General features: G+C 47.1%; 1 protein-coding gene and 2 pseudogenes across 2 annotated transcripts, besides 1 other annotated feature; 1 reads left to right on the forward strand and 2 right to left on the reverse strand.

Moving 5' to 3' along the window:
• On the reverse strand, nucleotides 6,832-7,774 carry KRT43P (keratin 43, pseudogene; annotated as a pseudogene).
• KRT32 (keratin 32) lies at nucleotides 17,883-25,756 on the reverse strand. Of its 2 annotated transcripts, NM_002278.3 has the most exons (7): nucleotides 25,228-25,756; nucleotides 24,464-24,546; nucleotides 24,143-24,299; nucleotides 22,652-22,813; nucleotides 22,448-22,573; nucleotides 21,200-21,420; nucleotides 17,883-18,609 (listed from the first exon to the last, which is right to left on the reverse strand). In NM_002278.3, the coding sequence occupies exons 1-7, from the start codon at nucleotides 25,693-25,695 to the stop codon at nucleotides 18,480-18,482; spliced, it is 1,347 nt and encodes a 448-aa protein (NP_002269.3). In that variant the 5' UTR covers nucleotides 25,696-25,756; the 3' UTR covers nucleotides 17,883-18,479. The 2 variants fall into 2 exon arrangements, 1 of the variants encoding a protein (NP_002269.3); XR_934457.2 differs by lacking the exons at nucleotides 17,883-18,609; nucleotides 21,200-21,420; nucleotides 22,448-22,573 and having other exon boundaries at nucleotides 22,729-22,813; nucleotides 23,129-24,299.
• Nucleotides 18,061-18,562: an enhancer, noted in NCBI's record as "H3K4me1 hESC enhancer chr17:39615943-39616444 (GRCh37/hg19 assembly coordinates)". NCBI's record gives its function as "activates a minimal SCP1, AML or CMV promoter by ChIP-STARR-seq in naive H9 embryonic stem cells {active_cell/tissue: H9 hESC(naive)}" and the evidence as "EXISTENCE:reporter gene assay evidence [ECO:0000049][PMID:30033119]".
• On the forward strand, nucleotides 26,326-26,516 carry RNU2-32P (RNA, U2 small nuclear 32, pseudogene; annotated as a pseudogene).

Here is a 26,776-nt window from a genome sequence, read left to right on the forward strand (position 1 = left end):
TGGGGAACAACTGTAACTTGGGTAGACGTGATGTTTCAAACAAGGTATCTGAGAAGCTCATGAAAATGAGGATGACTCCAAAAACCATGGCTTATCTCGACCAAGAAGGGCAAGCTCAAGAAGCCAGAAATAAACAAAGAGAAATGAGCAATAATCTTACTGAACCTCAAATAAGAACTTGGTCATGAAAGTCAAAGGACATTGAGTGATCAGAGCCTCTGTGGGCTCTCTTCATACCTTGCTTCCTTTATTCTAAAGTCAGTCATGAGCCTTCACCCTATGAGCTAGGGGATTGAGCAATGATACCTTTTAATCTTTACTTCCAACCTGGGAGGTGGGTACTCTTAATTTTACAAAATAAATAAACAAGCCATTGAGGACAGTTTTCTAAGATCAACCTCACTATAAAGTATAAAGCCTATTCTCAACATCAGCTTCTTTCAACTCCAGAAACTGTTTCTTCACCTTGACCACCTCCAAATCCTCCACCCCAAGGATAACTACTGTGTCATTGCTAGAACTAAGAAGGATTCAAATTCCTAGAAACCGGGCAAGAAGTTGAAATTAAGATGTAAAACAAAAATCTGACATTGTGTATTTTTCCCTTTGTATCTCAGAAAATACAGATGTGGAGGTATTCATACAATAAAACAGAGTTTCTCCAAGGGCTAAATCAGAAGATGCCAGGGGAAAGTCCTGTCCCTAAAATGGTTATATTACACATTCCACATTCAGATAGTTCTTGGTACTAGGGATCCAAGACACATGGCTGCTGAGATCCCAAAACTTTTCTCCCAAAATTTGTGACAGAAGATACATAGACCCCTGAGACTAAGAAAAACCTAATGTGGAACAATCCAAAGTGATTATAACTAGAATTTTGGGAAAATGAGTTTTTGCCAGTCCCCTGAGCATTGAACAAAAGCTGAACATACACCTCTATAGGGATCAGACGTGCATATGTGAAACACAGGCTATTGGAGTTCTATCAAGAAGAAATACAGAATCTGAGAATTCAGTCCAGATTGGGCTTCTCAGGAAAGTAAGTAGTAGTGAGCGCTGACCTAAGGGTTATTCAGAGCTCACCAATCCATAACCCTTTACAGACAACATCATTGGGAGACATCACCAGGGCAGGCTGTCCCATCCTCCAGAGGCCACTGGGTGCAATCTGCATATGTTACATCTTCAAACACCCTTTTGTTACTCTCCTCCGCCTCATCACATAGCAACAAGCTTCTCTATAAATCAGAGAGCCAGGCTTTTAAAGTCATTTCCTTTGATTTGCTAAGTAGCACCCATCTTTTGGCTTTATCCTCTGCCCAGATTCATTCCATGGACTAAAAGCCACGATTTCGTCCATTCACAATACATGACTCATCACTGCTGAAGCCTTGTGTGTCCAGATGACACCCCTCTCTGCCAACTGGCTTGGGTCCTGGCTTGGGCTTCTACCTTGTACTGTTTTGCATAATGATACTGATGTTGCATGGCTCTTTGTAAAATCGCTTTGTTCCCCTGATTTGTATTTTCTCAAAGGAGGTGAAGGAGCGGGTGGGGATCCTAAGACTCTCTTCCTTCCCAACCCTTTAAAAAGAGTCCCTGTGGCCCCTGGTGACCGAATATGAGGCCAGGTTCAGTAACAAGAAGTGATGAATACAGAGTGTGAGAGATGGGAGCCTGCTGCCCTCCTTCATTCACCTGTGTGCACAACATTCTCTGTGTGGATTCTGACTTTAGACATGCCGATCTCTAGAGGCATGAAGTCTACTGCAAATGGAGGTGAGGAGCTGTGGTCTTGGAATGCCATTTTCACTAATTTTGATACATAGGGGCATATCTCAACCAATGGGAGAGAAAGGTATGGAGCTGTAGGCTAGCACCTGGAGATTGTGCCTAACTCAAAGTTTATCTTTTCTGTGTCATGGCTCCTACTGCTGGAAGATGCAGGGAGGCATCTAGGGAGTTGTGCCCTGTGTGGGAACGTCACCCATCACACATTGCAGTGAATGCAAAGATTTATGACAAGTACTATATGTAGAGTTAGTGCTGCCACATCTCCAGGGTGTTAGAAAATGGTGTCCCAAACAATCCTAGATCAAGAAACCATGAAGACTCTTGAGAGAAGAGGCTGAGCATATAAATGTATTATTCTAGGTATCCAACTCCTGAGGCTTTGATGAATGGAAAAGGTACACTTCTGTTCAAATTAAATATGATTTTATCTATATATGAATGTATGCTCATTTGTGATTAAGAAATACAAACTAAAGAGATATTGTTTTCTTATCAGGTTTTGCTAAGTTGGATAATAGCACACAGTGTTGGCATGAGTGTGGGAAACAAGTCCTATCCTCTCCTGTGGATGACAGTCACGAGCTTCCACCTCTGCACATAGGCACAGAAACCGGGGCCCGTGCGTTGGGACCTGTGAGCCTCACACCTGCCTCTGATGGCATCATTTGCTGCTCCAGGCTTCACTGCAATCGACCCACTTGGAGAGTAGCTCAGGAGGCTCACCCTGCCCTGGCAAGCAATAGTGAGGGAAGAGACTCCAGAAGATGAATTAGAAAGAGTTGGAAAATCTTTGAGAAGCAAGACCCTAAGAAGGGAAGAAAATATAGAATTCTGTTTCAACCAGAATAAAAACAGATCTTTGGCACAGGTCAAAGATCCTCATTGTGGAAAATATTGAACTGCTTTCTGTTGCTCATTACAAACCCATGATTATGAAACATGCTGAGTCTGAAACAGCTCAGTGGCCGTTCTCTGTCACAGATAGATTGAGCTGTGTGGGCTCACTCATGCTCTCTGCAAAGCCTTCTCTGGCTTCCCAGGTAGGCTGCTCTCCCTCTGCTGACACACTCTTCTCACCCTGGGAAACTGTGGCTGTATCAGAGGTGGTAGCTCCCCACCATGGACTTGGGATCTCCAGGACATCAGGGAGTTTGTCTCATTGCTTTTTCCTCTTTCATCTCCATATCCCCAGACTCTGGCACAGAGCCCGGCTACAGAGTAGGTTCTGCATCCATGTGTGTTTAATTATGTAAGCAGGTAATGAGAAACACAGTAGCACCAAGCAAAGATATTTGTATGCTGAAACAATGAAGTAAAATCATAGATTCTTAAGCAATGTGGATAAATACACAACCAGAGATATGCCGGCAAATTAGCTCTCTGGGGGGAAAACCCCTCCAGTTTGTAGTGTAAGCCAATTTCTGTGGTGTAAATACTCCCACAATAGCCAACTTCAAGCAAACAATATGATGTCACTGAATGTGGAGTTGGAAAGAGATGTGAAAAATCGGCTCTTGTGAGTTATAAGAGTTAGCTCCAGCGTACCACTTGATCCCACTTTCTAAAACCAAAATCCTGACAGTACATTTCTTACATAGTAATTTTTTTTATAAATCCTACAGAGAAACCAAAGGTAGATCACATTTGATGACACAGGCAAGAGACCTGCCCCTAGAGAAGAGGAAGGCATTATGGCCATGGTGCCACCCACAACTGCTTCATCTTCTCACCAGTCACTGAGATGCTGTGGTTCCCCCCAGGGCCCCACGGTCCCAGCTGCGAACTCAGGCAGCCTCTGGAAAGGGCAGAACCAGCTAGTTTGATTGCACATCACTGGGAACAACCCTTCTCTGCTGATGCAGGATGCTTCTCTCAAGTCACCTTCAAGTCTTTCTCAGATAGTGACACTGACAAAGGAAAGGTACAAGCCCAAGTGAGGCACTTAGCAAGCATTAGGCAGGGATAAGCCAGCACAGAGGAGATGACATTTGATAAAGAAAACTGTATAGATTTATGTTGGTTTTTATGTTGTGTTGAGAAAAATTACTCTCTGGACATTTTCCTAAGCTGGTCGTGTCAGCCTGTAGGGCAGTGGTTCTCAGAGTTTGGTTTCTTAGCCAGTAGCATCAGCATCTCGCAGGAACTTGTTAGAAATCCACATTCTCAGATGCCCACTCCAGACCTACTGAATGCAGATACACTGGGTGCAGGGGAGGGGGCAGCAATCTGTGTTTTTCCTTGTTTGTTTGTGTGTGTGTTTTGTTTTTGTTTTTTTGAAACAGGGTCTCACTCTATCACCCGGGCTGGAGTGCAGTGGCACAATCTCAGCTCACTGTAGCCTCGACCTCCCAGGCTTAAGCAATCTTCCCACCTCAGCCTCCCCAGTAGAGGGGATTACAGGCACATGCCACCACACCCAGCTAATTTTTGTATTTTTTGTAAAGACAGGGTTTTGCCATGTTGCCCAGGCTGGTCGCGAATGCCTGAGCTCAAGTGGTCTGCCCGCTTCAACTTCCCCAAGTGCTGGAATTACAGGTGTGAGCCACCATGCCCGGCCATAATCTGTGTTTTAACAAGCCATCCAGGTGATTCTAAGGAATGCTCAAACTTGATAACCATCGCTCTAAGAGAAGGGAATAGTCCCAAACACAGTGATTAGAAACGTCTGGGACAAACATGCTTCCCCTCACCTCACATCCCTTTGGAAACCAGTTGAGAACAACTTCTAATTTTGACTATACACCAGAATCCCCCAGGGGGCCATCTCATCCTTACAAGGAGCACACCCTGATCCTCTCTCAGGGTGCACTGTCTATTCTGTTATTTACAAAAAAAAAAAAAAAAAAAAAAAAAGGCCAGGCTTGGCAGCTCATGCCCATAATCCCAGCATTTTGAGAGTCTAAGGCGGGTGGATCAACTGAGGTCAGCAGTTCGAGACCAGCCTGGCCAACATGGCAAAGCCCTATCTCTACTAAAAATACAAAAAAATTAGCCAAGCATGGTGGTGCATGCCTATAATACCAGTTACTCAGGAGGCTAAGACAGAAGAATGGCTTAAACTGAGGAGGTAGAGGTTGCAGTGACCCAAGATAGAACCACTGCACTCAAGCCTGGGTGACAGAGCCAGACCCTGTCTCAAAAAAAGAAAAAAATCCCCTGGGGAGTTTTTAGAACTTCTGATGCCCAAGCCACACCCAGACCGATGGCCACAGAATCCCTGGAGGTGGAGCCCAGCATCACTATTTTGTAAAGCTCTCCAGATGGTTCCAAAGAGCAGCCATGGTTGAGAAGCAATGACTTAGAAGAACAAGAAAAGAAAGGATAGGAAAGGTGATAGAGTCAAAAGCAGCACTTTGGGGTCAGACAGAGTGCAGATTCTGGCTTTACTATGTTCTTTGAAGCCATGGAGGTTTTATTTTTCCTTGTTGGAAATAAGGATTATAAAACCCACCCTGGCAATTATTTGGGAGAATTCACATTCCAGAAAGCAGTCATCAGTTACTAATAAAATTACTTTTAATAAAGCTGTACAAGGTTGCAAGACCTTATCTGCAATTTTGAAATCCAAAAAATTCTGAACACCAAGTTTTCTCATGACTCATTGGTCTTTGTATAGTGTTTATCTCTCTCATGCTCATCAAAACCCACTAAAATGACTTCAGAGACCATTCATAAGTCATAGCCATAGTTTTAAATACACTACACAAGTCAAAAGATACGAAGTAGCAGATATGTAGGCTGAACACGTTTAAAGATCTAATGTACAAGAGGACTCTAGTTAATAAGAGTATTATATTCAGGATTTTTGCTAAATGAGTACATTATAGCTGCTCTTGCCATGGGGGTGGGTGGGGGCAGGAAATGGGTAACTATGTGAGATGATGAATATGTTGTTTCACTATAATAACCATTTTGCTATATATATGTATCCCATAACATCATGCTGTATAGTTTTTTATTTTTATCTTTACTTTTTTTAGAGAGAGAGAGAGTCTCGCTCTAGACTCCAAGCTGGAGTGCAGTGGTGCAATCTCAGCTCACTGCAAACTCCACCTCCCGAGTTCAAGTGATTCTTCTGCCTCAGCCTCCCGAGTAACTGGGATTACAGCCATGCACTACCACGCCCAGCTAATTTTTGTATTTTCAGTAGAGACGGGGTTTCACCATGTTGATTAGGCTGGTCTAGAACTCCTGACCTCAGATGATCCACCCGCCTCAGCCTTCCAAAGTGCTGGGATTACAGGCGTGAGCTACCACACCCAGCCTCATGCTGTCTACTCTAAATATACACAATAAAATTTATTTTTTTTAAAGCATCACACGGGATATTCACTGTAACCCACTGAAATAACCTGAAAACAGTAGTCACACTCTCAATAAGCAACTTCATTTAATTCATTTCCCAGGAACCAGAAGATGCAGCTTCCTAAGCATTAAAGAAAGGAAGTGGCCCCACTGAGCAAACTCCTTGAAAATGAAAACACAAGTCGAAGTTGTGAGAAGCTGCAGAGTCACAAGGTACCCGCCTCTTCTCGAAGGTAAGCCATTTACAAGGTGGGCCTCAGCCGCAGGTGAGTCTCTTTCCCTTGCCTCCGTCTCATCTGCAATGAGAGGAGGGTTCCAACCCACCCTGTGCGCAGAATCTGCTGCTGCCCTGGCAGCCTCTGGTGGGTATGTAGGGTGAGCTCAAGAAAGTGTTGCTATGTGGGGCTTGGGGTGCAGGTCATGTGAGCACTCTTGCACGTGACCTCCAGGTGTGGTACATGGATTACATGGCCTCTTGCAGCAGATGCACATGGAGACAGTTCATCCACAGACCCAGCTTTAGTTTATGTCCCTCCCCCCTTACTAACTCTGACGGGGGGCAAACTAATTATTCTCCGAGCCCCATATCCTTGTCTGCAATAACAGCGTCAGCAATGCCAACCTCACATAGTAAGGACAGTTGTGAAACAAACATCAGTCCCTCATCGTTCTACCTGGAGACACTGCAACACTGATACTCATAAATGAAGACACTACTTGACATCACACATACTTGCAGCCTTTGTTCCCCAGAAGGTTCCAGTACATGGTGATCTCACCCTCCAGTTGGGCCCTGATATCCAGCTGCTCCTGGTACTCCTGGCTCTGCCACTCTAGGTCAGCCTAACTCTTGGACAGCTGCTCTTCTACACTGCTGATGAGGCTCTGCAGCTGGGCCAGCTCCATGCCGTAGTGGTCCTCAGCTTCACACAGGGAGTGCTACAGACAGTCCTTCTGTAATACCAAGGAAAGGGAGAAGCAAGCTAAAATTCGTGGATCTCTGCCCTCAGCCTCTTAAGATTGTGACACCCCAAGACTGTGCCAGGTCCAGGAGCAATCTAACTCCCTTTGGCTGTCTTTAGCCAGAAGAACCAATGCTGTGTTACTTGTCTTCACAGTAGACCTTTAAGATCAGAGCCCCCTCACCTGAGTTAATGTTGATTCACTCACCATCCACATCTGCAAGAAAGTGCCTCCAAAGGAGATGAAACCAAGGTTTAAGCTGACTCCCTGGTTGGTATCTAAGTGAGGCCTGTACTGACCCCAAGGAACTGCTCATGGGCAGTGGGAACCAAGCTGGGGCTCCCATACATGCAGAGGGACTCACCAGCGTGTGCTGAGCCTGAAGCTCCACCTCCAGGGTGTTCACCGAGCAGCTCAGCTCCAGGATCTCCAAATGACAGCACTGCAGCTCCTAGAGCAGGACATGGCCTGCAGGCTGATGCCTTCAGACTGGAGCACAGAGAGACACAATTACCTCCCTGCCCAGGTGGATGCCGAGTCCTCCCTACTCTGCAGCCTCCCTTCATCTGGGCTTGGAACCACTGCTCCACATCCTGGCAGCTGGTCTCCACCACGGCCTCATACTGGCCCCACATCTCCTCTGACTGCTCAGGTCCGCAGTGGGCTCAGTCCCCAACTCAATCCGGAGCTTGTCCTCTGCACTCCTCAGAGTGCAGGCTTCCTATGTACACAAAAAGAGCAGACTCTGCATTCATTCAGCCCTCCACCAAATGTCTTGCCCACCTGAAGCACAGCATGGTGACTGCTCAGGCACTTCACCCCAGGGGAGCAGCAGAGCCACCCCAGCAGCCCCCTTGTCAGCATCTCTCTCCATGTCTGAAATGATCTAATAATTATCTCTATTTTTACTTTATCACAAAGAGTGACACCCATACAGAGTTGCCTCTGTTTCAATCATTATCTGGGAAAAAAAAAAAAAACTTTTTTGAGATATGGCAGCACAAAAGAAAGAAAAGAGCATCGGCCTGGCACAGTGGCTGACCCCTGTAATCCCAGAACTTTGGAAGGCCGAGGCAGGTGGATCACCTGAGGTCAGGAGTTCAAGACCAGCCTGGCCAACATAAGTGAAACCCTGTCTCTACTAAAAATACAAAAAAATTAGCTGGGCATGGTGGCAGGTGCCTGTAATCCCAGCTAGTTCAGAAGGCTGAGGCAAGAGAATTGCCCAGGAGGCGGAGGTTGCAGTGAGCCGAGATGGCGCCATTGCACTGCAGCCTGGGTGACAAAAGCGAAACTCTGTCAAAAAAAAGAAAGAGAGAGAGAGAGAGCAGGAAGGGAAGGGAAGGGAGAGAGAAAGAGAGAGAGAGAAATAAAGAAAGAAGAAGAGAGAAAGAAAGAAAGAAAGAAGAAAAAAAGAAGAAAGAAAGAAAGAAAGAAAGAAAGAGAGAGAGAAAGAAAAGAAAGAAAGAAAGAAAGGAGGGAGGGAGAAAGAAAGAAAGAAAGAAAGAAAGAAAGAAAGAAAGAAAGAAAGAAAGAAAGAAAGAAAGAAAGAAAAGAAAAAAGGAAAGAAAAGCACATCAAAGAAACATGAATTCTAATCCTGGCTCTACCAATTGACAGTGTGACTTGGGGCAGTCACTTCCTTTCTCTGAACTTCCACGTCCTCATCTGTAAAATGACCCCTTTGTGAGTCCAAAAGTCCCTGATGTCTAATCCCTCTCTGAGTCCTTGAATCTATCATTTGAATCATTTCCCACAGATAGGAAGAGACAGGGCTCTAGAATATTTTCTCCACATCTTTTCTGTATCTATTGCTGTTTCTTCTCTCTGAGCCTCAGTTTCCTCATCCCTAAAATGAGAGAGTTGGACTGCCGATCCCTGTATGGTCTTTGCCAGCCCTGCTTTTACAAGATTTTGGGACCATGGGTCTTTAATCCAGGGCAGGGGAAAGGTCAGCCAAAGGGGAGAAGACTCTGCCTGGAGGGGAACAGCGCCCAAGTGCAAACCCAAGGAATGGATCTGTCGCTCTTCCTGGTCAACCCCCTGAAATTGGCCTCAGCCATTTCTTAGTTGCTTCTACCTGCTCACGGTTATTTTTCGAACACAGAAACTCCTCCCTTAGGGACTCTTACTGCACCTCCAGCTCTCCCTGGCGCAGACCCACATCACCCAGGAGCCTGTGCAGGCTGTTTATGTTGGTCTCCACTCATTGGCTGGGCCCAGCCAACTCTGACACTTGTCTAAACGTGGCAGATAAGCATCCAAGCCAGTGGCCTGTCTTTCAGCATGCATGCCTCTCCATTTGCTCTTCTCAGGCCAGAGGCACTTGTACATCTGCTTTGATTGGGGGGATGTTTCTATACTAAATAAAATATGAAAATACTTATTGATCTTTCACTATCCACCAGATACTTTAGTGCACAATGAAAGACAGCAATTTGACAGAGCAGGAGCATCGCCATCTTAGACAAACACCACCATTTTAAGTTTCCCTTGATTAAAAAAAAAGTAGCCTAAATCCAGCCCCAAAATGTCAGTCTAATAGCTAATGTCAGCATAAACAGAAATATTCCAACCCTACGATAACCCCCCTCCAACCAGAAACATGCCAACCCCAAGATAGCTTCCCCTCTAACCAAAGACATTCCAACCCCACAATAAATTTTTCCTCACGTAGAAACATTCCAAACCTATGATAAGCTCCCAGCTTCCTAAACCCTTAAATATCCTTAGTCTGTAAGAGAGAACACTCCTAACTGAAATCAGCCAGAAGCCTCTCTCAGGTTTATTCTCCAAAATAAACCTGTCTTTGACTGTTGAGCCACTTTTCATGTTTCTTTCTTCTTTCTTTAACTCTTACACAATTAATACTACATGCTTAGGTAGAATGTGGTTTGGGTCTCAATGCCATCCTATGCCAGGTGTACCTTTGAGCAAGTTTCTTTCTCTGAGCCTCAACATCCTCATCTGTAAAATGAGGGTAACAATTCTTAGCTCACAAGGTTGTTGTGAAGATGGAATAAACTACATTCAGCACTTTGGTGTAGTCTTAAACATTGTGAACACTCACTAATGCCACTGTGACTGTTGAGACCTAACCCTGTCCTTCAGGAGCTGACTTAATTCTTGATTAGGGCTCAATCTTAATCAAACACATCTTAAATTACCCCTAAAATTCTTTGGGACTGAATCTTTTTATTAATACTTCTTAGGTTGGTGGAAACATTTCCTTGGAGGGATTCTTTTCAAAGGCTGCCCCTCCTTTGCTTCCTCCACAGAGACCTGTACCTGACACGAAAGAGATGGACAGAGTACCAGGGAGCAGCAGTTCCCAGCTCCTGTCAGACTCTCTCTGTCCTAAAGTTGTCACAGCTATTTTCACATTGTCCACCTGGACAGCCAACCAAGCATTCCCTACCCTCCTGGGTGAGATCTGAGAATGAGAAACACCATGCTTCACAAGGATGCTCTCCATGGAATTCTCCCCAGGCCCTAAAATGAATGAAAAAAAATGTGATCTGAGCCACATGGGGACGTTTCCATCTTTCCTTATGGTGGATTTTTAAGCATCAAGTATCCAAGGGTTTGCTCCCATCTGTAACGAAACTAGCTGCGCTCTGGGATACAGATGGGGTTTCACTTCTCACTCTACTGTGGGCTCCATTGGTCAGGTCTGGGCAGCAGTGAGGGGGTTGAAGGGATAGCCCCTTGGACTGAAACCCAGCTCTGCACAGCCAAGACATGCTTCTGGTTCACTCACCCTCCCTTTTTCTCCTCATCCACTTCCTCAAAGGCACCAACACAGTGGTTAAGTGGACCTGTGTCACGCAGCTTGGCAGTTTACCAGCTCTGAGACTTTAGGCATAGCTTCTAACCCCCTGAAGCTTAAAATCTTCCCATCTGTAAAATGGAAAACGTGATTCTATCTGCTTCATCAAATCCTTGTAAGGATTAAATGCAACCAAGCATATATGTTTAGCAAAGCTTCTGACATCTAGTGAGCTCTTAATAAAGGTGCTCTATTCTTTTTAGATAAAATAGAAATAATAATATCCACCTTAGAGGATTGCTGAAATGGTTCAAAGAAAAAAGGTATGTGAAAATTCCCAGTTCAGGTTTGACATTTAGTAGAATCAAGGATGATTTCAGAAATATTATAACCACTGTTGGCAGCAATCTAAAAGGAGATGTGGAAACGGCCACAGAGACAGACTGCTACATCCCAGCTGAATATCAGCACTTAATGGAAAATACTAAATAAATGTGATTAATTTTTTAAAAATGAAGTTAGGTTGTTCATCCTTTCCACCATCTTGTACAGAACAGGAACTCCAAAACAAATAGAAAGATGAGAATGCCACAAGAGACGTTCAGATATGCGGCTGTGGGTTATTCCATGGAAGGCAAAATCCATCCCAGGGGGATTAGCTTCTAGAGAGGATTCCAGGAGGTGGGGAATATCACCTGGGTTTTGAAGCCCAACTAGAATTTGGCCATGCAAAGATGAGAAAGAAAGCACTACACATGTGAACAAACATTTTGTGAGTGACAACGCAGTTTGACAGAAGCATAGGGCAAGTGACAAAGCAGTTTGATAGAAGCACAGGATGTTTGCAGAAGATTAGAAAGAGGTAAGCTACAAAAAAAAGTGAGGCTGAGAACATGGCAGCCTTGAATGCCAGGCTAAAGAGCTGAGGCTTCATTTTGTAGGCACTGTCTGCTCCCCAGCACCCAGCGATGCAATCACTCATTGCTGGTGCTCAATAACTAGTGAGTGAATGGTGGCATGTCCTTAAATAAGGCAGGATCTGGATTGTGAAGAAATAAATCCATATCCCACTCACAGTCCTCTCATTGCAGACATCAGCAATGATGCTTGTTGAATGGAACTGGTTGTAGAACCAAGTGGTTGGGCCCTTGACATCACAGTTTATTTCTGGCACCTTCAATCCATCTTTATGAACATTCATGGACTGTCATCCCCCCAGGCAACCCCTCCAATTCTCCCATCACCAATCCTCAGCCCTCTCTTTCCATGCCACTGACACCAGAGCTCAAGGCCTCATCTTACTTTTTGTTGGAGCTCCTTAATGGTCTCAAAGTGTGAGCAGTAATTGGAGCATATGTCAGGGCACTGCCGTTTGCTCCACTGCTGGCTCTCAGCACCACCCCTGCTTCTCATTCTCCTGCTCCAACTGCTGCAACTTCTGCAAGCAGTTGGCCAGGCACTCACTTAAGAACTGCATGATCCCTTTCCCACTGCTGCTGAGGATGTCTTCACTGAACCAGCCACAGGTGCCCATACTGGCAGGGATGTTCCTGGTCCCTGGCAGAGGACAGGCAGAGTGACTGCTGGCAGGGCCAGGCTGGACTGACTGTGAGCCACAGGTTCTAAGGAGATGGCTACTAGGTTGGTGACTCTCTTACAGGTGGGCCCCAGTCTTAATACTGGGATCTACAGACATTGGGTACAGAGTTTCTAGAGTGGTTTCTGGCCACAGCCTGTCTGGAGCAAGGAGGCTTCAAATGGCTCTTGCCAAAGCTTGAGGAGCAGGGATTTCTGCTTTAACTAGAAGCCATGGTCCTAGACAGTTGAGTTGCAGATTGGTGACAAGGGCCAGGTGCTCAGGTGTGAGTGTTTCCTCACCCAGAGCTTTTATTCACCTGCCATAGGAGCAGATGTGATACACAAGCTTTCCCCCAATGAATCCTCATTTGTTCTGCCATCAGAACAACCCATCAGCAGTTATTCAGTCCTCAGAAGTAGCTCCCCACTTTATGAAAGAAAGGGCTGACTTTGGACTTCTTGTTACTGCCTTCTGTTGTGAAAAGAAATGTTAAATGTTTTCTCTTTAGAGATGCCCCATTGAAAAGTTAGACTTTGTTCCTTGAGTGACTATCTGGCCTCTCTCTAGGAATGGCATTGGCTCTAAGATGAATCGTCCTCTCCACTGACCTTCAATACCCAAAAAAGTAAAATTCTCTGATAAGAGCCTCAGGAATCCCTAAAGAGCAATAGAGCAAAGACTGCTAAGTTATTAGAACTAAAGAAAACTTCCAAGTACTAATTCAACCTTTCGTGCTTCAGAGACCAGAGAAGGACAGTGAGCTCCCCAGGGATGCCAAGCAAGTCAGATACAGAGCCAGGACTGGTCCCAGGGCCCCTAGCACATTCTGTTTCCTCTGCACCAAGATGGACAAGCTTTTTCTGTTAAAAAGACAGATGCTAAATATTTTAGGCTTTGCAAGTCGTATACTCTCTTTGTACTGCAACTACTTAGCTCTGCCATTGTAGCACAAAGCAGACATAGACAACAGGGAAATGAATGGGTGTGGCTATGCTCCAATAAAACTTGATTTACCAAAACAAGTAGCAGTGGGGTTTGACCTGTGAGCTGTAGTTGCCATCCCTGCTTCACACAGCACAGTGAATGAGGCTTAAAAATTGGACCCCTTAAGCATGTGGGAGACCTTCAGTCCGCTCTGGAGCCAGAGGGCTGGGCAGAGGGAGGGCACCTGGGAATGGATGGTGAACTCCAGGACTGGACGCTGAGCCTCAGACACCAGGGCCTTCACTCTACCAGGGCATTTACACCAAGACTGGAAGTTCATCCAATGCTCTTAGAGCAAAGCAAAGCTACCCATATGTTGTTGTTGCTGCTGCTGCTGCTGCTGTTGTTGTTTCTGAAACTTGGGCTTCAGAATGGCTCCAAAATATGACTCAGCTGCCATTGTAATTGGGGAAAGTCAGAAGAGAAGAGAAATTTGTTGCCAAAGCATGTTTTCTTTACTCAACATTCATCAGGCACCTACAATATGCCAGGCATCATGACAGGCATTTTTATATGTACTATATCCCAACAACTCTGTGAAAAAGGTAGAATTACTCCCATTTCTAAAGGGGAGAAGACTGAGATGCATAGAGATTAAGAGTTCTGCCAAAATCACACAGCACATTAGCAGCAGAACTGGGGGTCTAGCCCAGTTTTTCTGAAGCCAAAGGCACTGATCTTCTCCATTAATCCTAGATGCTCATTGGTGACTTTGTTTACATATTATGATTAAGGGACACTGCTATTTAAATACAAATTTGTCTTGATCAGTTGGGCAAAAAGATAGACATCAAATGATCTTAGGAACTTTCTGTTTAGCCGAATTGATATCATTGCATTCAAGTGTTACATTTTATGAAATACAGGCCGGGTGCAGTGGCTCACGCCTGTAATCCCAGCAGTTTGGAAGGCCAAGGTGGGTGAATCACCTGAGGTCAAGAGTTCGAGACCAGCCTGGCCAACATGGTGAAACCCCATTTCTACTAAAAATACAAAAATTAGCCAGGCATGGTGGCATGTGCCTGTGGTCCTAGCTACTCAGGAGGCTGAGGCACAAGAATCACTTGAACCCAGGAGGCAGAGGTTGCAGTGAGCCAAGATCATGCCACTGCACTCCAGCCTGGGCTACGGGGCGAGACTCTCTCTCCAAAAGAAAAAAAAATTATGAAATACAAAAAGAATATTGTTTTATTATTAATGATTTTCCTGGTTATACCCTGGAAGAGGCATATTCTTTTTTTGATCACTCTCTAAAAGGTTTCCTAATATAGTGGTGAAGAAAGATTCAGTCAGTGCAATTCAGAGTCCACACACAGCCCCAACTCCCAGATGCCAAACCCAACTCCTGGATCTTTCGGGAAGCTGTCGCCCTCTGGCCAGTCTTCCTTGAATGGCAGTTCTGCCCATGGGCCCTCACTCTCACCCCCAGAAGAGGGTGCTTTGCACTAGGGCAGTGAGCAGCAGGGGTGAGGCCCAAACTCTTGAATAGCCTTGGGGAAAGTGGTGTCTTTAAAAAGCACACCCTTTTCTTTTCCAATCCCGCTCAGAGAGGATCCCTGATACCTGTGAGGGTTTCTCCAAAACATCAAATATGACAGAGGTTTTATGACTTGACCAGGGTCCTGCCTACATTTCCCTATAAACTCTTCCCCTATAAAGAGTTAATTAGATGCAAATGCTTTGATATGAGGAGAGAGTTCCTCTGAGAATCTCCATGAGTGGTACACTGAGTCCAGTTCCCAGGAGATTCCGGTGCTGGTGGGGGATAAATATCTCCCAAAGTCTATGCCCACGGCTTCTTCATCCATCAAATAAGAGACAGGCTAGGCAGGAGGGTAGCTCGTGACACCTCTGGCTTGAAGTACCATCCAGACACAGAAGATGATGGGCCTCACTTCTAGCAGAGGAGGGTACTCCTGGCCCTGGGCTGTGGGGCTTGGTTTCATATAAAAAGCTTTAACAGTCATCTTGGGAGTCAGACAGGTCTTGGCAAGTGGGAGAGACACACAGGTGTGGGAATGGGGACCGAGTTGGACTGAAACAATATGCACTGGGGAAACGGAGACTCTGGAAGTCCCCAGGGGGTCCAGGGTCCAGGACTTCTGGCCCACAACTCCTGTGCAATCATTCCTGCTGAGGCTCTGGGCTGCAGCTCAAGGTCTTTGCTCTTACTGAGCCCAGTGCTCAAAGAAAGAGGAGATGCTGAGTCTGGTAGTTGCTAGCGATGCTTTTTAAGAGAACTATATTCCCAGGAAGAAGTTTCAGCTTCTCAGAGAAAATGTCTCCCTTCTTTGGGAAATGAAAGAAAAGGAGAGGGGAAATATGTATTAGCCTGAAATAATAATAAACCTAGGGTGCTTGGAGAAAGCATAAAGTGCTTGGAGAGACCTAAGAGGCTTGGCGTCAAAACCCTTGGCTTCAATTTCCACCTGTTGGTTGTGTCTGTGAGCACATCTGTCCACCTCCCTGGGTCTGAGATGACTCTTCTGTAAAACTGGGAAAGCTGAGCCAGATCATCTGGAAGGCTCCTTCTAGTTCTGACAGTCTAAGACAGCTCTGTCCAGTAGAACTTTCTGCAGTGTTGGAAATAGTCCATGTCTGTGTTGTCTTATTTACTACCACTTAGCCACGTGTGACGAGTGCAACTCAGTGCAATTCAGTATATGAAACATTCATATACCGAATGTTTCAGTATATGCAGCCACATGTCGTTATGAACTACCATATTGGACAGAACAGGTCTAGGATTATAGAACCAAAGCTTTGGTCTGTTCTGTGTGTTGTTTATCAAGCTGAGCACATTCCAGAAAAGTTTTGCACCGGGGTTGAAATTAAAGATTGCTGGTTTGCACGCAGTTATGAGAAAATTCAATTAGCCAGAACCCCTCTCTCTTGGCATTTCAGCTCCTTGAAATTTTACCCATCCATCAACCAGGAACCACAGCTTGCTAAGCAGTATGTTCATGTCCCTGCTGTCAGGCTAATGACCTTGTCTGCCAGGGATGCCTGCAGGATCATGTCTGGAGAGCAGCCTGCAGGCAGCTTCAGGATCCAATCCATTTTTCATCATTTCTTGGCAAGGCCAGAGGGAGGATACTTAATAGAAACATCATCTCAGCTCATTAAGGAAGAACTGTGTGTTTGGAGGGTGAGGTTCAGAAAGGTGTTCAAGATTCCTGTCCCCAGCTCTCTCCTCTTTACCTGCCATGGCCAATCCATTGCCAAGTCAGGTCCATCACAGTGTCTCTTAGATTGATTCCTTATTTTTCCATGGTCCCTGACATTGTCTTGCCTGAGACCCTGTTAGCTTCTTCCACAGCCTAACCCCTCCTCTTAGCTATCCTGTCTGTGTTACTTGGTGATACTTTCTAAGATGCCACTCAAGTCATGTCATCTTTGGGCTCAAATCCTGCAGCAGCCCTCCCATTGCCTTCAGGATAGAGTCCAGAATCCAGGCTTTTTGTGGGGTACCCAAGGCCCCCCTACTCTCTGATGCCTTTCTACCATTTGAGCTTCATCCCCATCAGCCTCTCACAGGAACTCACTGCTCCAGCCAGCAAGACCCCTTGAGGCCTTCCAAGCATGACCCCCTGCTCTCCTGAAGATCCCCACACACTTACTTGCCTATCTGGTGCCCTGTAGACCTTCTATTCAACCTCCAAGACCTATTTCAAACGCCACCAGCTACAAGAAGCCTTTCAGATCCTCTCAGCTTAAGACTTTCTCCAAATCTTGACTAGTGTTTACTCTTTCTGGGTAGGAATTTGGCAGTTAGAATGGTTAAAATAACACTGCTGTGAAGCTAGACTTGGGTTTAAGTCTTTGTCCTTGCATGTAACCTTCAACAACTAACTTGACCACTCTATGCCTCCATTTCCATGTCTAAAATGGATACCATGTGTACCTTACAAGGTGGTCATGAAAACTGCATAAGTTAATTTATGTAACATGCTCCACACAGTACTCGGTGCATTATAAGTGCTCAAGAATTAGTAACCTTTGCCATTATTACTATTATTACTGTTACTATTATATGGCCCTTATGAAGAAAGGAGTGGCATCTTATGCACATGGGTCTTAGCTCCTCCTGTAATTACAAGTGTTTGAATGGTGGTGATCACTTGCATTTTTAATACCCCCTGCACCCAGCTGTAGTTTGCAAATAGTGAGGACTGTGAATGCGAATCGGTTGAGCATCTCTAGAGCCCAAAGGCCTCGATTTCAGTCCTGGGTCTGCCACTAACAAGCTGTGTGACTTTGGGCAAGTTTCTTAACTTCTCTGGGCCTCAGTTTCCTCATTTACAAAATGGATGCAATAATGGCATATTTTTCACGGATTGTTGCAAGGATTAAATGAAGCATTACTAACAATGTGTCTGGGAACTCTTCCTTGGATTAGCCAGCCTCTAATGCAGAACCTGCACCCAGTAGCTGCTCAGTGAAGATATTTTGAAAGAATGAATGATCACATTGTACCAGCTGTAATGAGATTTAGGGGTGGGTTTATTATGATATGATTCTCAATTACAGTAATTTGGCCTAGGTTTCTGGCATAATTATCTCCCTCCTCTCTTTATTCTTTTATTACTTGGCTCTAGAGTAATTGATTAGTTTTAACTGGTTTATGGCATGCGGGCCCTTTTAGTGAACACCTCTCAAGCCTCTATGGAAGCAGAAGGAGCATAAAAATAAATACAGAATTTGCCCACGTTCCTCTTAAGCCCAATTGAGTAGGATTGGCTTGTGGATGCAGCAGCGTAAGTGACAAACAGAGACAGACATGTTTGCAAGGCCACTGAGTACAGCTCTATTTGCCAGTTAACTAAGAACACACGCTCTTTGAGGCAGCACAGACAACCAGAAACATCACCAAAGAGAACAGTTCACCCATGGAAAAAAGAGGCAGTTTTGAAGTGATGAGGGCTTAAGTATCCCCTGGAGTATCAGAGCTTGTTGCAGGTGATCCACGGTCCTGCTCAGGGTCTTCCTTGCTGACCGGGGCTGGCCCTGCTCTTCTGGTGGCCACTGAATACCAGGCTGCCCAGCCCCAGGCCCTCCAGGATCCACTGGCACAAAGGGACTTCAGTAGCGGCCCTGGGGGCAGGGTGAGCAAGGCATGCCAACAGTGCGTGGCACACAGACGGTGCGGGGCACGCATGGGGAGGGCACACAGGTGGTGCAGGAAGGAGTGGAGCATGGGTTACAGGGCAGCCTGCAGGAGAAAGTCAAAGAGAAACAGGATTAGTAGAGAAGGCCCACTCGGCCACAGGTCCTGCCAATTCTCCCCTCGGATGCCTCTCAACCCCATCTTCCGTGCTTTCTCTGCCCAGCCTCCCTGGTCCCAACCTCCGCCATCTTTGCCTGAGTCACCTCATGGCCTCCTAACTGATCTCCCCAACCCCACTTGGGCCCCTCCTAACCACTGTCCACTTAGTAGCCAGAGCAATCTTCTACAGTCACAAATCCAATTATGTCCCTCCCCTCCCTAAAACCTTCAGTGGCTTCCATTTGAGCTCAGGATGAAAAGCAGCTTCCTCTGGAAGCCATCATTCTCAGCAAACTAACACAGGAACAGAAAACCAAACACTGCATGTTCTCACTCATAAGTGAGAGTTGAACAATGAGAACACATGGACACAGGGAGGGGAACATCATATACTGGGGCCTGTCGAGAGGTGAGGGGAGCAGGGAGGGAGAAAATTAAAACAAATATCTAATGCATGCAGGGCTTAAAACCTAGATGACGGGTTGATAGGCAACAAACCACCACCATGGCACATGTACACCTATGTAACAAACCTGCACGTTCTGCACATGTATCCCAGAAGTTAAAGTAAAATAAAATAAAATAAAGAAAAGCAGCTTCCTTAATAGGACCTGCATGATCCTGCTCCCACCTCTTGCCCCAGCCTCACCTGATAGCTCCATTGCTCTGGGAGCTGCAGGTACTCTGACCTTCTTCCAGCTCCTGCAGGGACTGTACTGCTCAGGCCACAGGGCTTGTGCCCTGTGCCGTACATCTCTGGAACCCTCTTCCCTCTCCACTCACCTACATTTCTTCTCTTGTTTAAGAGCTCAACTCAACTCTCACGTCCTCCTTGAAGCCTCCCCCACCTCTCTGAGACAAAGCCCCCATGGTACATGTATCTCCTTTCATCGTGAGTAGTAATCATTCTATTATGGTCTGTCTCCCCGGCCAAGCAGTGAGGCCAGCAGCCACAGACCCATGCCCACCCTGCATACCTCACATAGAATAGGCACCTAATAAGAATATTTGGATCAGACAAAACAATAAATGAATGAAGAATTAATACATGGTGAAAGGAAAAAGGATGATCTCAGAGACTGACAGGCATGCACTCAAAACCAGGAACAACACACTGGATGCTGGATGGAAACCCAGTAGCTCAGAGAACCAATGGGAGGCCTGAGGATCATGTGCAACCTGAAATGTGTTCCATTTGCCTGGCACTATATATTTTCTTTAATTTTTTGAAAATACTTAAGAATCAGGAGAATTTAACATTTTTAAAAACCCAGATTCTCAGCTTCCCTGGAACTATTGGAAGATCAGCAATATTGGACCTGCTTCTCACACAGTAGAAGTGGCCCTGAGGGCATGCCATTGCCTGGATTGGACAAGGCAAGAGCTTTCTGCTTTTCTACCATCTCCGTATGACCCACGTCATTCATGCATGTTAATGGCCTGGTCCTTGCAAATGTTTGACACAACACTTGCCCTGAAGTTATAGATTCTGAATGATGGAGAAGCAATGCCAAATGCGGAATAAGAAACAGCTACAACAGTCGTCAGCCCACTGGGTGTCCATGGCCCAGAGGTACCCTGCATTCAGACAGCCACCAAGTCCTGCTGATTCTACCTGCACAGTGTCTAGAGCTGATGCCTCTGCTGCCCTAACTCAGGCCCTCCCTATTGCTTACCTAGGCTGTGGCCAGGGCCTCCTGGACAGTTTCCCTGCCTGGTTCCCCTCCCTCTACTCAGTTCTTCCTGCTGCTATCAGGGCCATCTTCCTGAAGAACAGCTTTGAGCTTGAGAGACATTTACTGAGCATCTACTATGTGCCACGTACAGGGAATAAAATTGTATTATAATGTCTCTGCATTCTAGATGTTTACCATCTAGTGGAGAAGACACACAGTAAATTCTCTCATTTCCTCCTCAAAACAATTTCCACTCACCTATAAATTAAAGCCCTCCCTTCCCAGTATGACCCGTGTTGTTCTCCATAAATGGGCCCCGGCTGATCTTTCCTGTCCTGCTCCCCACCAGGGCTCAATTACACAAGGCTACCTATTGTCCTGCTGACATGCCAAAATCTCCGTTCTGAGAGGAATGGAGCTATGAGGTGAGGCTGGGGTAAGAGGTGGGAGCAGGATTGTGTAGGTACTATTAATAAAGCTGCTTTTCATCCTAAGCTCTGGACAGGCCATGACCTCCAGTCACCTGTCTGCCTATCTCCCTAAACATATGGAAATGACAGGAGGGCAAATGCCCTGTCTTCCTCTATCTTGGTGTCCTCCATAGCACCTGCCCCATGGTGGGCACTTAGAAGGAGCTTGCCAGCTTGGAATGAGATAGAATGGTCTCCGAGGGGCTTGGTTCAGGATGGCAGCATGAACACCACTGCCTGACTTCCTTCAGAGCATACCAGCTTCTTAATGGCTCCATAGTCAGGACAGGGTTCTAAGCTGATGGTCCCTCAAGGGTAGATCCAGTTGCTTCCTATAACCTCCCAGAATCCCTGCCCACGTCTCTCTAAGCCTCAGCTGGGCCTGCGTACTTGCAGTCCTCGTTCTCCAGCAGGCTCCGGTACGTGTTGATCTCGCCCTCCAGCCGGGCCCGGACGTCCAGCAGCACCTGGTACTCCTGGTTCTGCCGCTCCAGGTCAGCCCGGATCTCAGCCAGCTGGGCCTCAACGTTGGTGATCATGCACTGCATCTGGGCCAGCTGGGAGCTGTAGCGGGCCTCACTCTCCGTCAGCGTGTTTTCCAGGGAGTCCCTCTAAGGCAAAGGAAGACATAACCATGAGGAAGGGAGCTGTTTACCATGGCCTGCTTCAGAAAGAACCAAGAAGAGCCAAATCTCCCTTTGATGCTGGAAATGAGCCCTCCCTACACCAGTCACTTTGGAAACGGAAGCCCAGAAAGGTCAAATGACTTGTTCAAGGGTAAACAGCTGGTACATTATGGAACCACAGTTTCTGTTCGTAAATCTGATCCTAAATCCCTCCTTTCTTCTGCAACCTTTGTCTGCCTTCAGGATTGGATCTGAGATTTCCCAAGTACCTCCCTGCCGGCATCATTTAGAACAGGGGTTTTCAAACCTGGCTGCACATTAGCGCCACATGGGAGCCCTCAAAAAATACCCATGGCTGGCCGGTCACAGTAGCTCATGCCTGTAATCCCAGCACTCTGGGAGGCCAAGGCAGGTGGATCACCTGAGGTCAGGAGTTCGAGACCAGCCTGGCCAACATGGTGAAACCCCCACTCTACTAAAAATACAAACATTAGCAGGGCATAGTGGTGCACACCTGTAATCCCAGCTACTTGGGAGGCTGAGGCAGGAAAATCACTTGAACCCAGCGGGGGCAGAGGTTGCAGGGAGCTGAGATCATGCCACTGCTCTCCAGCCTGGGCAACAGAGTGAGACTCCATCTCAAAAAAAAAAAAATAGCTGTGATCAGGTCCCACCTCCAGAGACTCTGGTTCAGTTGGTCCAGAAAAGAACCTGGGCATCAGGATGGGTGATATTGAGATCCATAGGTTTGGAAGGGCAGGCTAAGCACAGAACAAGCCTTCTTGTGGAGTTGAGTTTGACAGTGTCCACCTAACCCATGTCTGATTTGAAACATCCCTTTTTTATCTCTGAGCTGGATCTCGGGAGAAACCTCCCTCCGGGAAAAGTCAACAGGATGAGCATCCATGGTGGCTGAAATCTGAGCCTCCTCTTCCTCTTTCCTGGGGACCTGCACCTATGCTCAGTACCGCCTAGGATCCGGAGGGATGGGTGCCCACCCAGCAGCTCTCACCAGGCTGTGCTGGGCCTGCAGCTCGATCTCCAGCGTGTTGACCGTGCGTCTCAGGTCAATGATGTCTGACTGGTAGTTCTGAAGCTGCTCAGAGCTTGTGGCCACCTGTTGGTTAAGCTCCTCCATCTGCAGTTGGGGGAAGGAGAAGGCTAGAGTCCCTTCCTAGGGATATGGAGGAGGCCATCCCCACCGTGAGAGGCCCACCTGCATATTGAACCATTCCTCCACGTCCCTGCGGTTGGCCTCCACCATGGCCTCGTACTGACACCGCATCTCCTCCAGCACCCTGGTCAGGTCCACCGGGGGTGCAGCGTCCACCTCGATGTTAAGGCGGTCCCCAAGCTGGCATCGAAGGGAACCGACTTCCTGAAAAGGCACAAGACCTCCAGAAAAATGTGACAATGATAGGATCCTGGCTCACCTCCCCAGGGAGACATGAAAAGATGCAACAAAAGTTGCTAAAGATTGAAACATTAGATGGCCCCTAAGGACTGCAGTCCACTCAGCAGCATCCCAGTGCTCTTCAAACTCCAGCTGAATACCCCTGCGATGGGAACCTCACTGCAACACAACACTTCCTATCACTTTGGCAGAAGCCAAGAGCAGCACCCTGGTTTGTTTGATGCATTTGGGCTAAAATGGGAAACCGGTACCCCTAGTATTCCCAGTCTCCCTCCCCACCTGTGTTCATCCTGGGAGGAGGGTAGCAGGAGCCTGGCTTGACTAGTTAAAGGCCCGAGTTAGGGCAGCTGCCTCCCAGGCTTGGCTGCCAAAGAGGGAAAGTTGTCACTGAGTCTGCCAGGATGTGTGATAACTTCTCATTAGTGGCTTCTTGGTGCCGTTCCCAGTTCTCTGATTTGAGCAAGATGAGTCAGGAGCCCGAGGGTGCTCGGTGAGTACGTGGTGACTGATTGTTACTTTACACTTAAGCCTGAGGAAACCCAGCCAAGATTCAGAGGCACTTGTTCATTCAAATCCCAAGTCAAGAGGTTGAGAGTCAACCAGGGAGGGGGGAAAAACACCATGGCTCAGGTGGGCTTGGCAGCACACAGGTGCCCAAAGCAGAGGGCTTCCCCTCCAAGAAACTTCAGGAGATAAGGAAAAATCAGAAAGTAAAGGGCTTCAGCTTGAGCATTTTATATGCAAACAGAAGGGAGGACAAAATAAGGATAGGGGCAAAAAGAGGAGACCACTGCAGCTGTACTCCCTCTCAGAAGAGATGGGACTGCTTCTGAGAGTTGAGCCAGGCAGAGATGGACAGGCCATTCAACGTGAGATCTGGAACATAACTCACCCCGGCACCACTGCACCACTCTACCTCTGCTGTGTGGCTCTCGAGAGAAAAAAATGCAGTTGCCACTAGTGAGTGCTTGGCAGTCACACTAGCCCAGGAAATGCAGAAGGGAAGGGGGCTACACTTCTGAGAGTTGACCAAGTGGCAGGTGTTTCATACCCATGCCTTGGGGATTTCCATGATCCATATCCTGTCCATTAAATCCTCACAATAACCCTGCGTGATCATGTTGTCCCCATTTTACAGAAGAGGAGGCTCAGGAAGATTCCATAAATTGGGCAAAGTCACTAAAACAACATGTGGCAGGCTTGGGAATTTCAACCCACGCCTATCCAACCCCATACCCCACGTTCCTCCCCCTCTGCTTCCCGGGGCCACTTCAGCGGGACTTCCAGCCTCACCTCCTCATGGTTCTTTTTGAGGCACATCAGCTCCTCCTTCAGGGACTCAACCTGGGCCTCCAGGTCAGCCTTGCACAGAGTGAGATCATCCAGGATCCTGCGCAGGCCATTGATGTCGGCCTCCACCAGCTGCCGCATGGCCAGCTCTGCCTCGTACCTGCACAAGGACAGGGTCAGCAACCAAGGGTGAAACAGAATGCAGAACTCAGGGAAGGCCTTAAACTGCCGGCACTTTCCAACCCTCCGTGAAACTAATGGAAAGTTGCCCCAGAGCCTATGAGGACAGGTCCTCCCCAGCTCCAGCCCCCCGACTGAACTCACTTGGCCCTGAAGTCATCGGCAGCCAGTTTGGCATTATCAATGTTCACAACCATCCTGGCATTCTCTGCCTTGGTACACAGAATCTGTAGGCCAAGGCACATGGAGAGGGTTAGTTCAGGATGAGACGAAGCAAGAAGAACCCAAATGAAGAGAAGACAGCAGCAAAGGTAGGATCCAGCAGCCCTGCAGCCATCCCTGCAGAAGGTCCTCTTCCCTGGAACTCTGGGAGATATTTAGCGAATTGCTAGTCCTTGGAGAACTTGAGATGTATTTTTTAAGAACCTGAAGCTTCGTAAATTCAAATTCCCCATTTTGGATGTGCCAAGCAATGTGGAAGGGAAGAATCTCATGTCTGAAGTCACTCATGTGACAGTTAGAAGGGTCTTTGACATTTACTGAAAACTTACCGTGGACCAGGGGCTGTTCCAAGCACTTGACCTGCATCATCTCATCAAATCCTTTTGACAACCCCATTAGATAACGACCATTATTATCCCTGTTTTACAGATGAGAAAACTGAGGCCTGGGGAAGGGATGGGACCCCCAAAGTCATGCAATGAGGCAATGGTAGAACTGAGACTAGATCCCAGATCTCTCCACATGAAAGCCTCAGGCTGAGTGCTCAAATTATAAAATAACCCTATGCCCTAGGGAAGTCTCTTTGTCCTGAACATAGCTTAATAAGCTAACGAGATTCCAATCTGGAATGCCAGCTAGTCCAGTTCCCTTCCCAGAGAGCCTATTCACCTCACCGCTGCCCTCACCTTCTGCTGGAGCTCCTCAATGGTCCTGAAATGAGACTGGTAGTCAGGAGTCATGGTGAGCACCTGGGAGTGAGAGGCCTCTTGGATCCTGCTCTCCAGCTCCGCATTCTCCTGCTCCAGCTGCCGCACCCTCGTCAGGTAGCTGGCCAGGCGGTCGTTAAGGAACTGCATGGTTTCCTTCTCATTGCCATTGAAGGCCCCTTCGCTGTACCAGCTGCCGGGGCCCATGGAGCCGGAGATGCCACTGGCTGCCTGGCAGGAACTGGATAGATAGGTTTTGGAGAGGCAGCTGGCTGGCCGGAAGGTGGTGGGCAGGCAGACCGAAGGCAGGCATGCCATGGGCTGGCAGACATAGCCCAGGCACAGCTCAGGCCGGCAGTTCACGCCGCTGGAACAGACCGAGGCAGGCCGGGGGCAGCTCTTGAGAGAGGCTTGCAAGTTGTTGGTGACACAGCAGGAGGATGTCATGTTGGAGAGGCCCTTTCTCCTCAGCCACAGCTACCTGGATGTCTACAGACCCCATGCCGCCCGGGCCATTTTATGCCCTTGCAGTGAGGGGGCTCATGATAGAAATTCATCATTGGGTGGTGTTGATGTTCACACCCAGCCCCAGAGGAAGCTGCTAATTAATTTGTAATTTGGTTTCCAATAAAAGAGGCCAAACTTATCATTTGGCTAAAGCAGGAGTCTGGGTTCCTGTCATTGATCACCATGAGAGAGCTTCAGGACACATCTTCAAAGGGTCAGCCGCATGCCTGGGCCCTCATTACTAGGGCAGGCCCTCCAGGAGACTGCCACAACCCAGCCTGTGCCTCCACTGGCTTTGCCCACTGCACCCCCGCCTGCTCTAGCCCTGAGAAGCCTGCAGGTCTGTGCAGCAGTGGCTGCCTCTTTTAATGAAAGCATTCCCCATGGGAAGAGGCCTGGCTATTTAACAAGGAAATGTGTGGGTGGTAGAAACTGCTCCGATGCTGGCAGCGGCATAAATCCAGCAGAAAGGAACAGGAACCTCAGAGGCTTCCTAACAGACATCATCTTCCTGCCAAGGGGAAGAAAATAATATCAGTGGGGAGAGAATGAACTCAAGACATAGGCAGCATCACTTCTCAGCCTTTTGGCTAAGATCAAGTGTGGTATCTGTTCTTATCGTCTTAATATCTGATACGTCCTCCATCTGAGGACAACATATTAAATGGATTTTGGGAGCAGGGAGATGGAATAAGAGCTTGCTCTGTTCACTCTACATGTTGACCTGGTATTGCAGTACCTCCAGGAATGCTGCACCCCTTCAAAAGGCAAAAAAAAAAAAAAAAAAAAGACCCAAACAGAAGCCTAAGAATCAGGTACATCTTTCCAGTTGGTCTCTTCCTCTTGGAAAAGTCCATATCATGAACATCTCCAGGTGGCAGCTGCTCTGTCTTGACCCCCTCTGGACCATCCATTCAATTATCACTGCACCATATACACAATTGTCAAGTGCTCAATAATTGTTTGTTGAACAGACTGAGAATAGTTGGAACAGGTTCTACTTTTACTTTCTGTTGTGGCA

Source organism: Homo sapiens, chromosome 17 (assembly GCF_000001405.40).
Source record: "Homo sapiens chromosome 17, GRCh38.p14 Primary Assembly".
Classification (NCBI taxonomy): Eukaryota; Metazoa; Chordata; class Mammalia; order Primates; family Hominidae; genus Homo; species Homo sapiens.

Excerpts from the sequence above, each read along its gene's own strand:
- KRT32 (NM_002278.3), bottom strand. The coding sequence starts at position 25,695 with ATGACATCCTCCTGCTGTGTCACCAACAACTTGCAAGCCTCTCTCAAG. Across the intron at positions 24,300-24,463 it reads GCCGATGACTTCAGGGCCAA|GTACGAGGCAGAGCTGGCCA; the intron begins GTGAGTTCAGTC and ends GTCCTTGTGCAG. Across the intron at positions 22,574-22,651 it reads AGGAATGGTTCAATATGCAG|ATGGAGGAGCTTAACCAACA; the intron begins GTGGGCCTCTCA and ends CCCCAACTGCAG.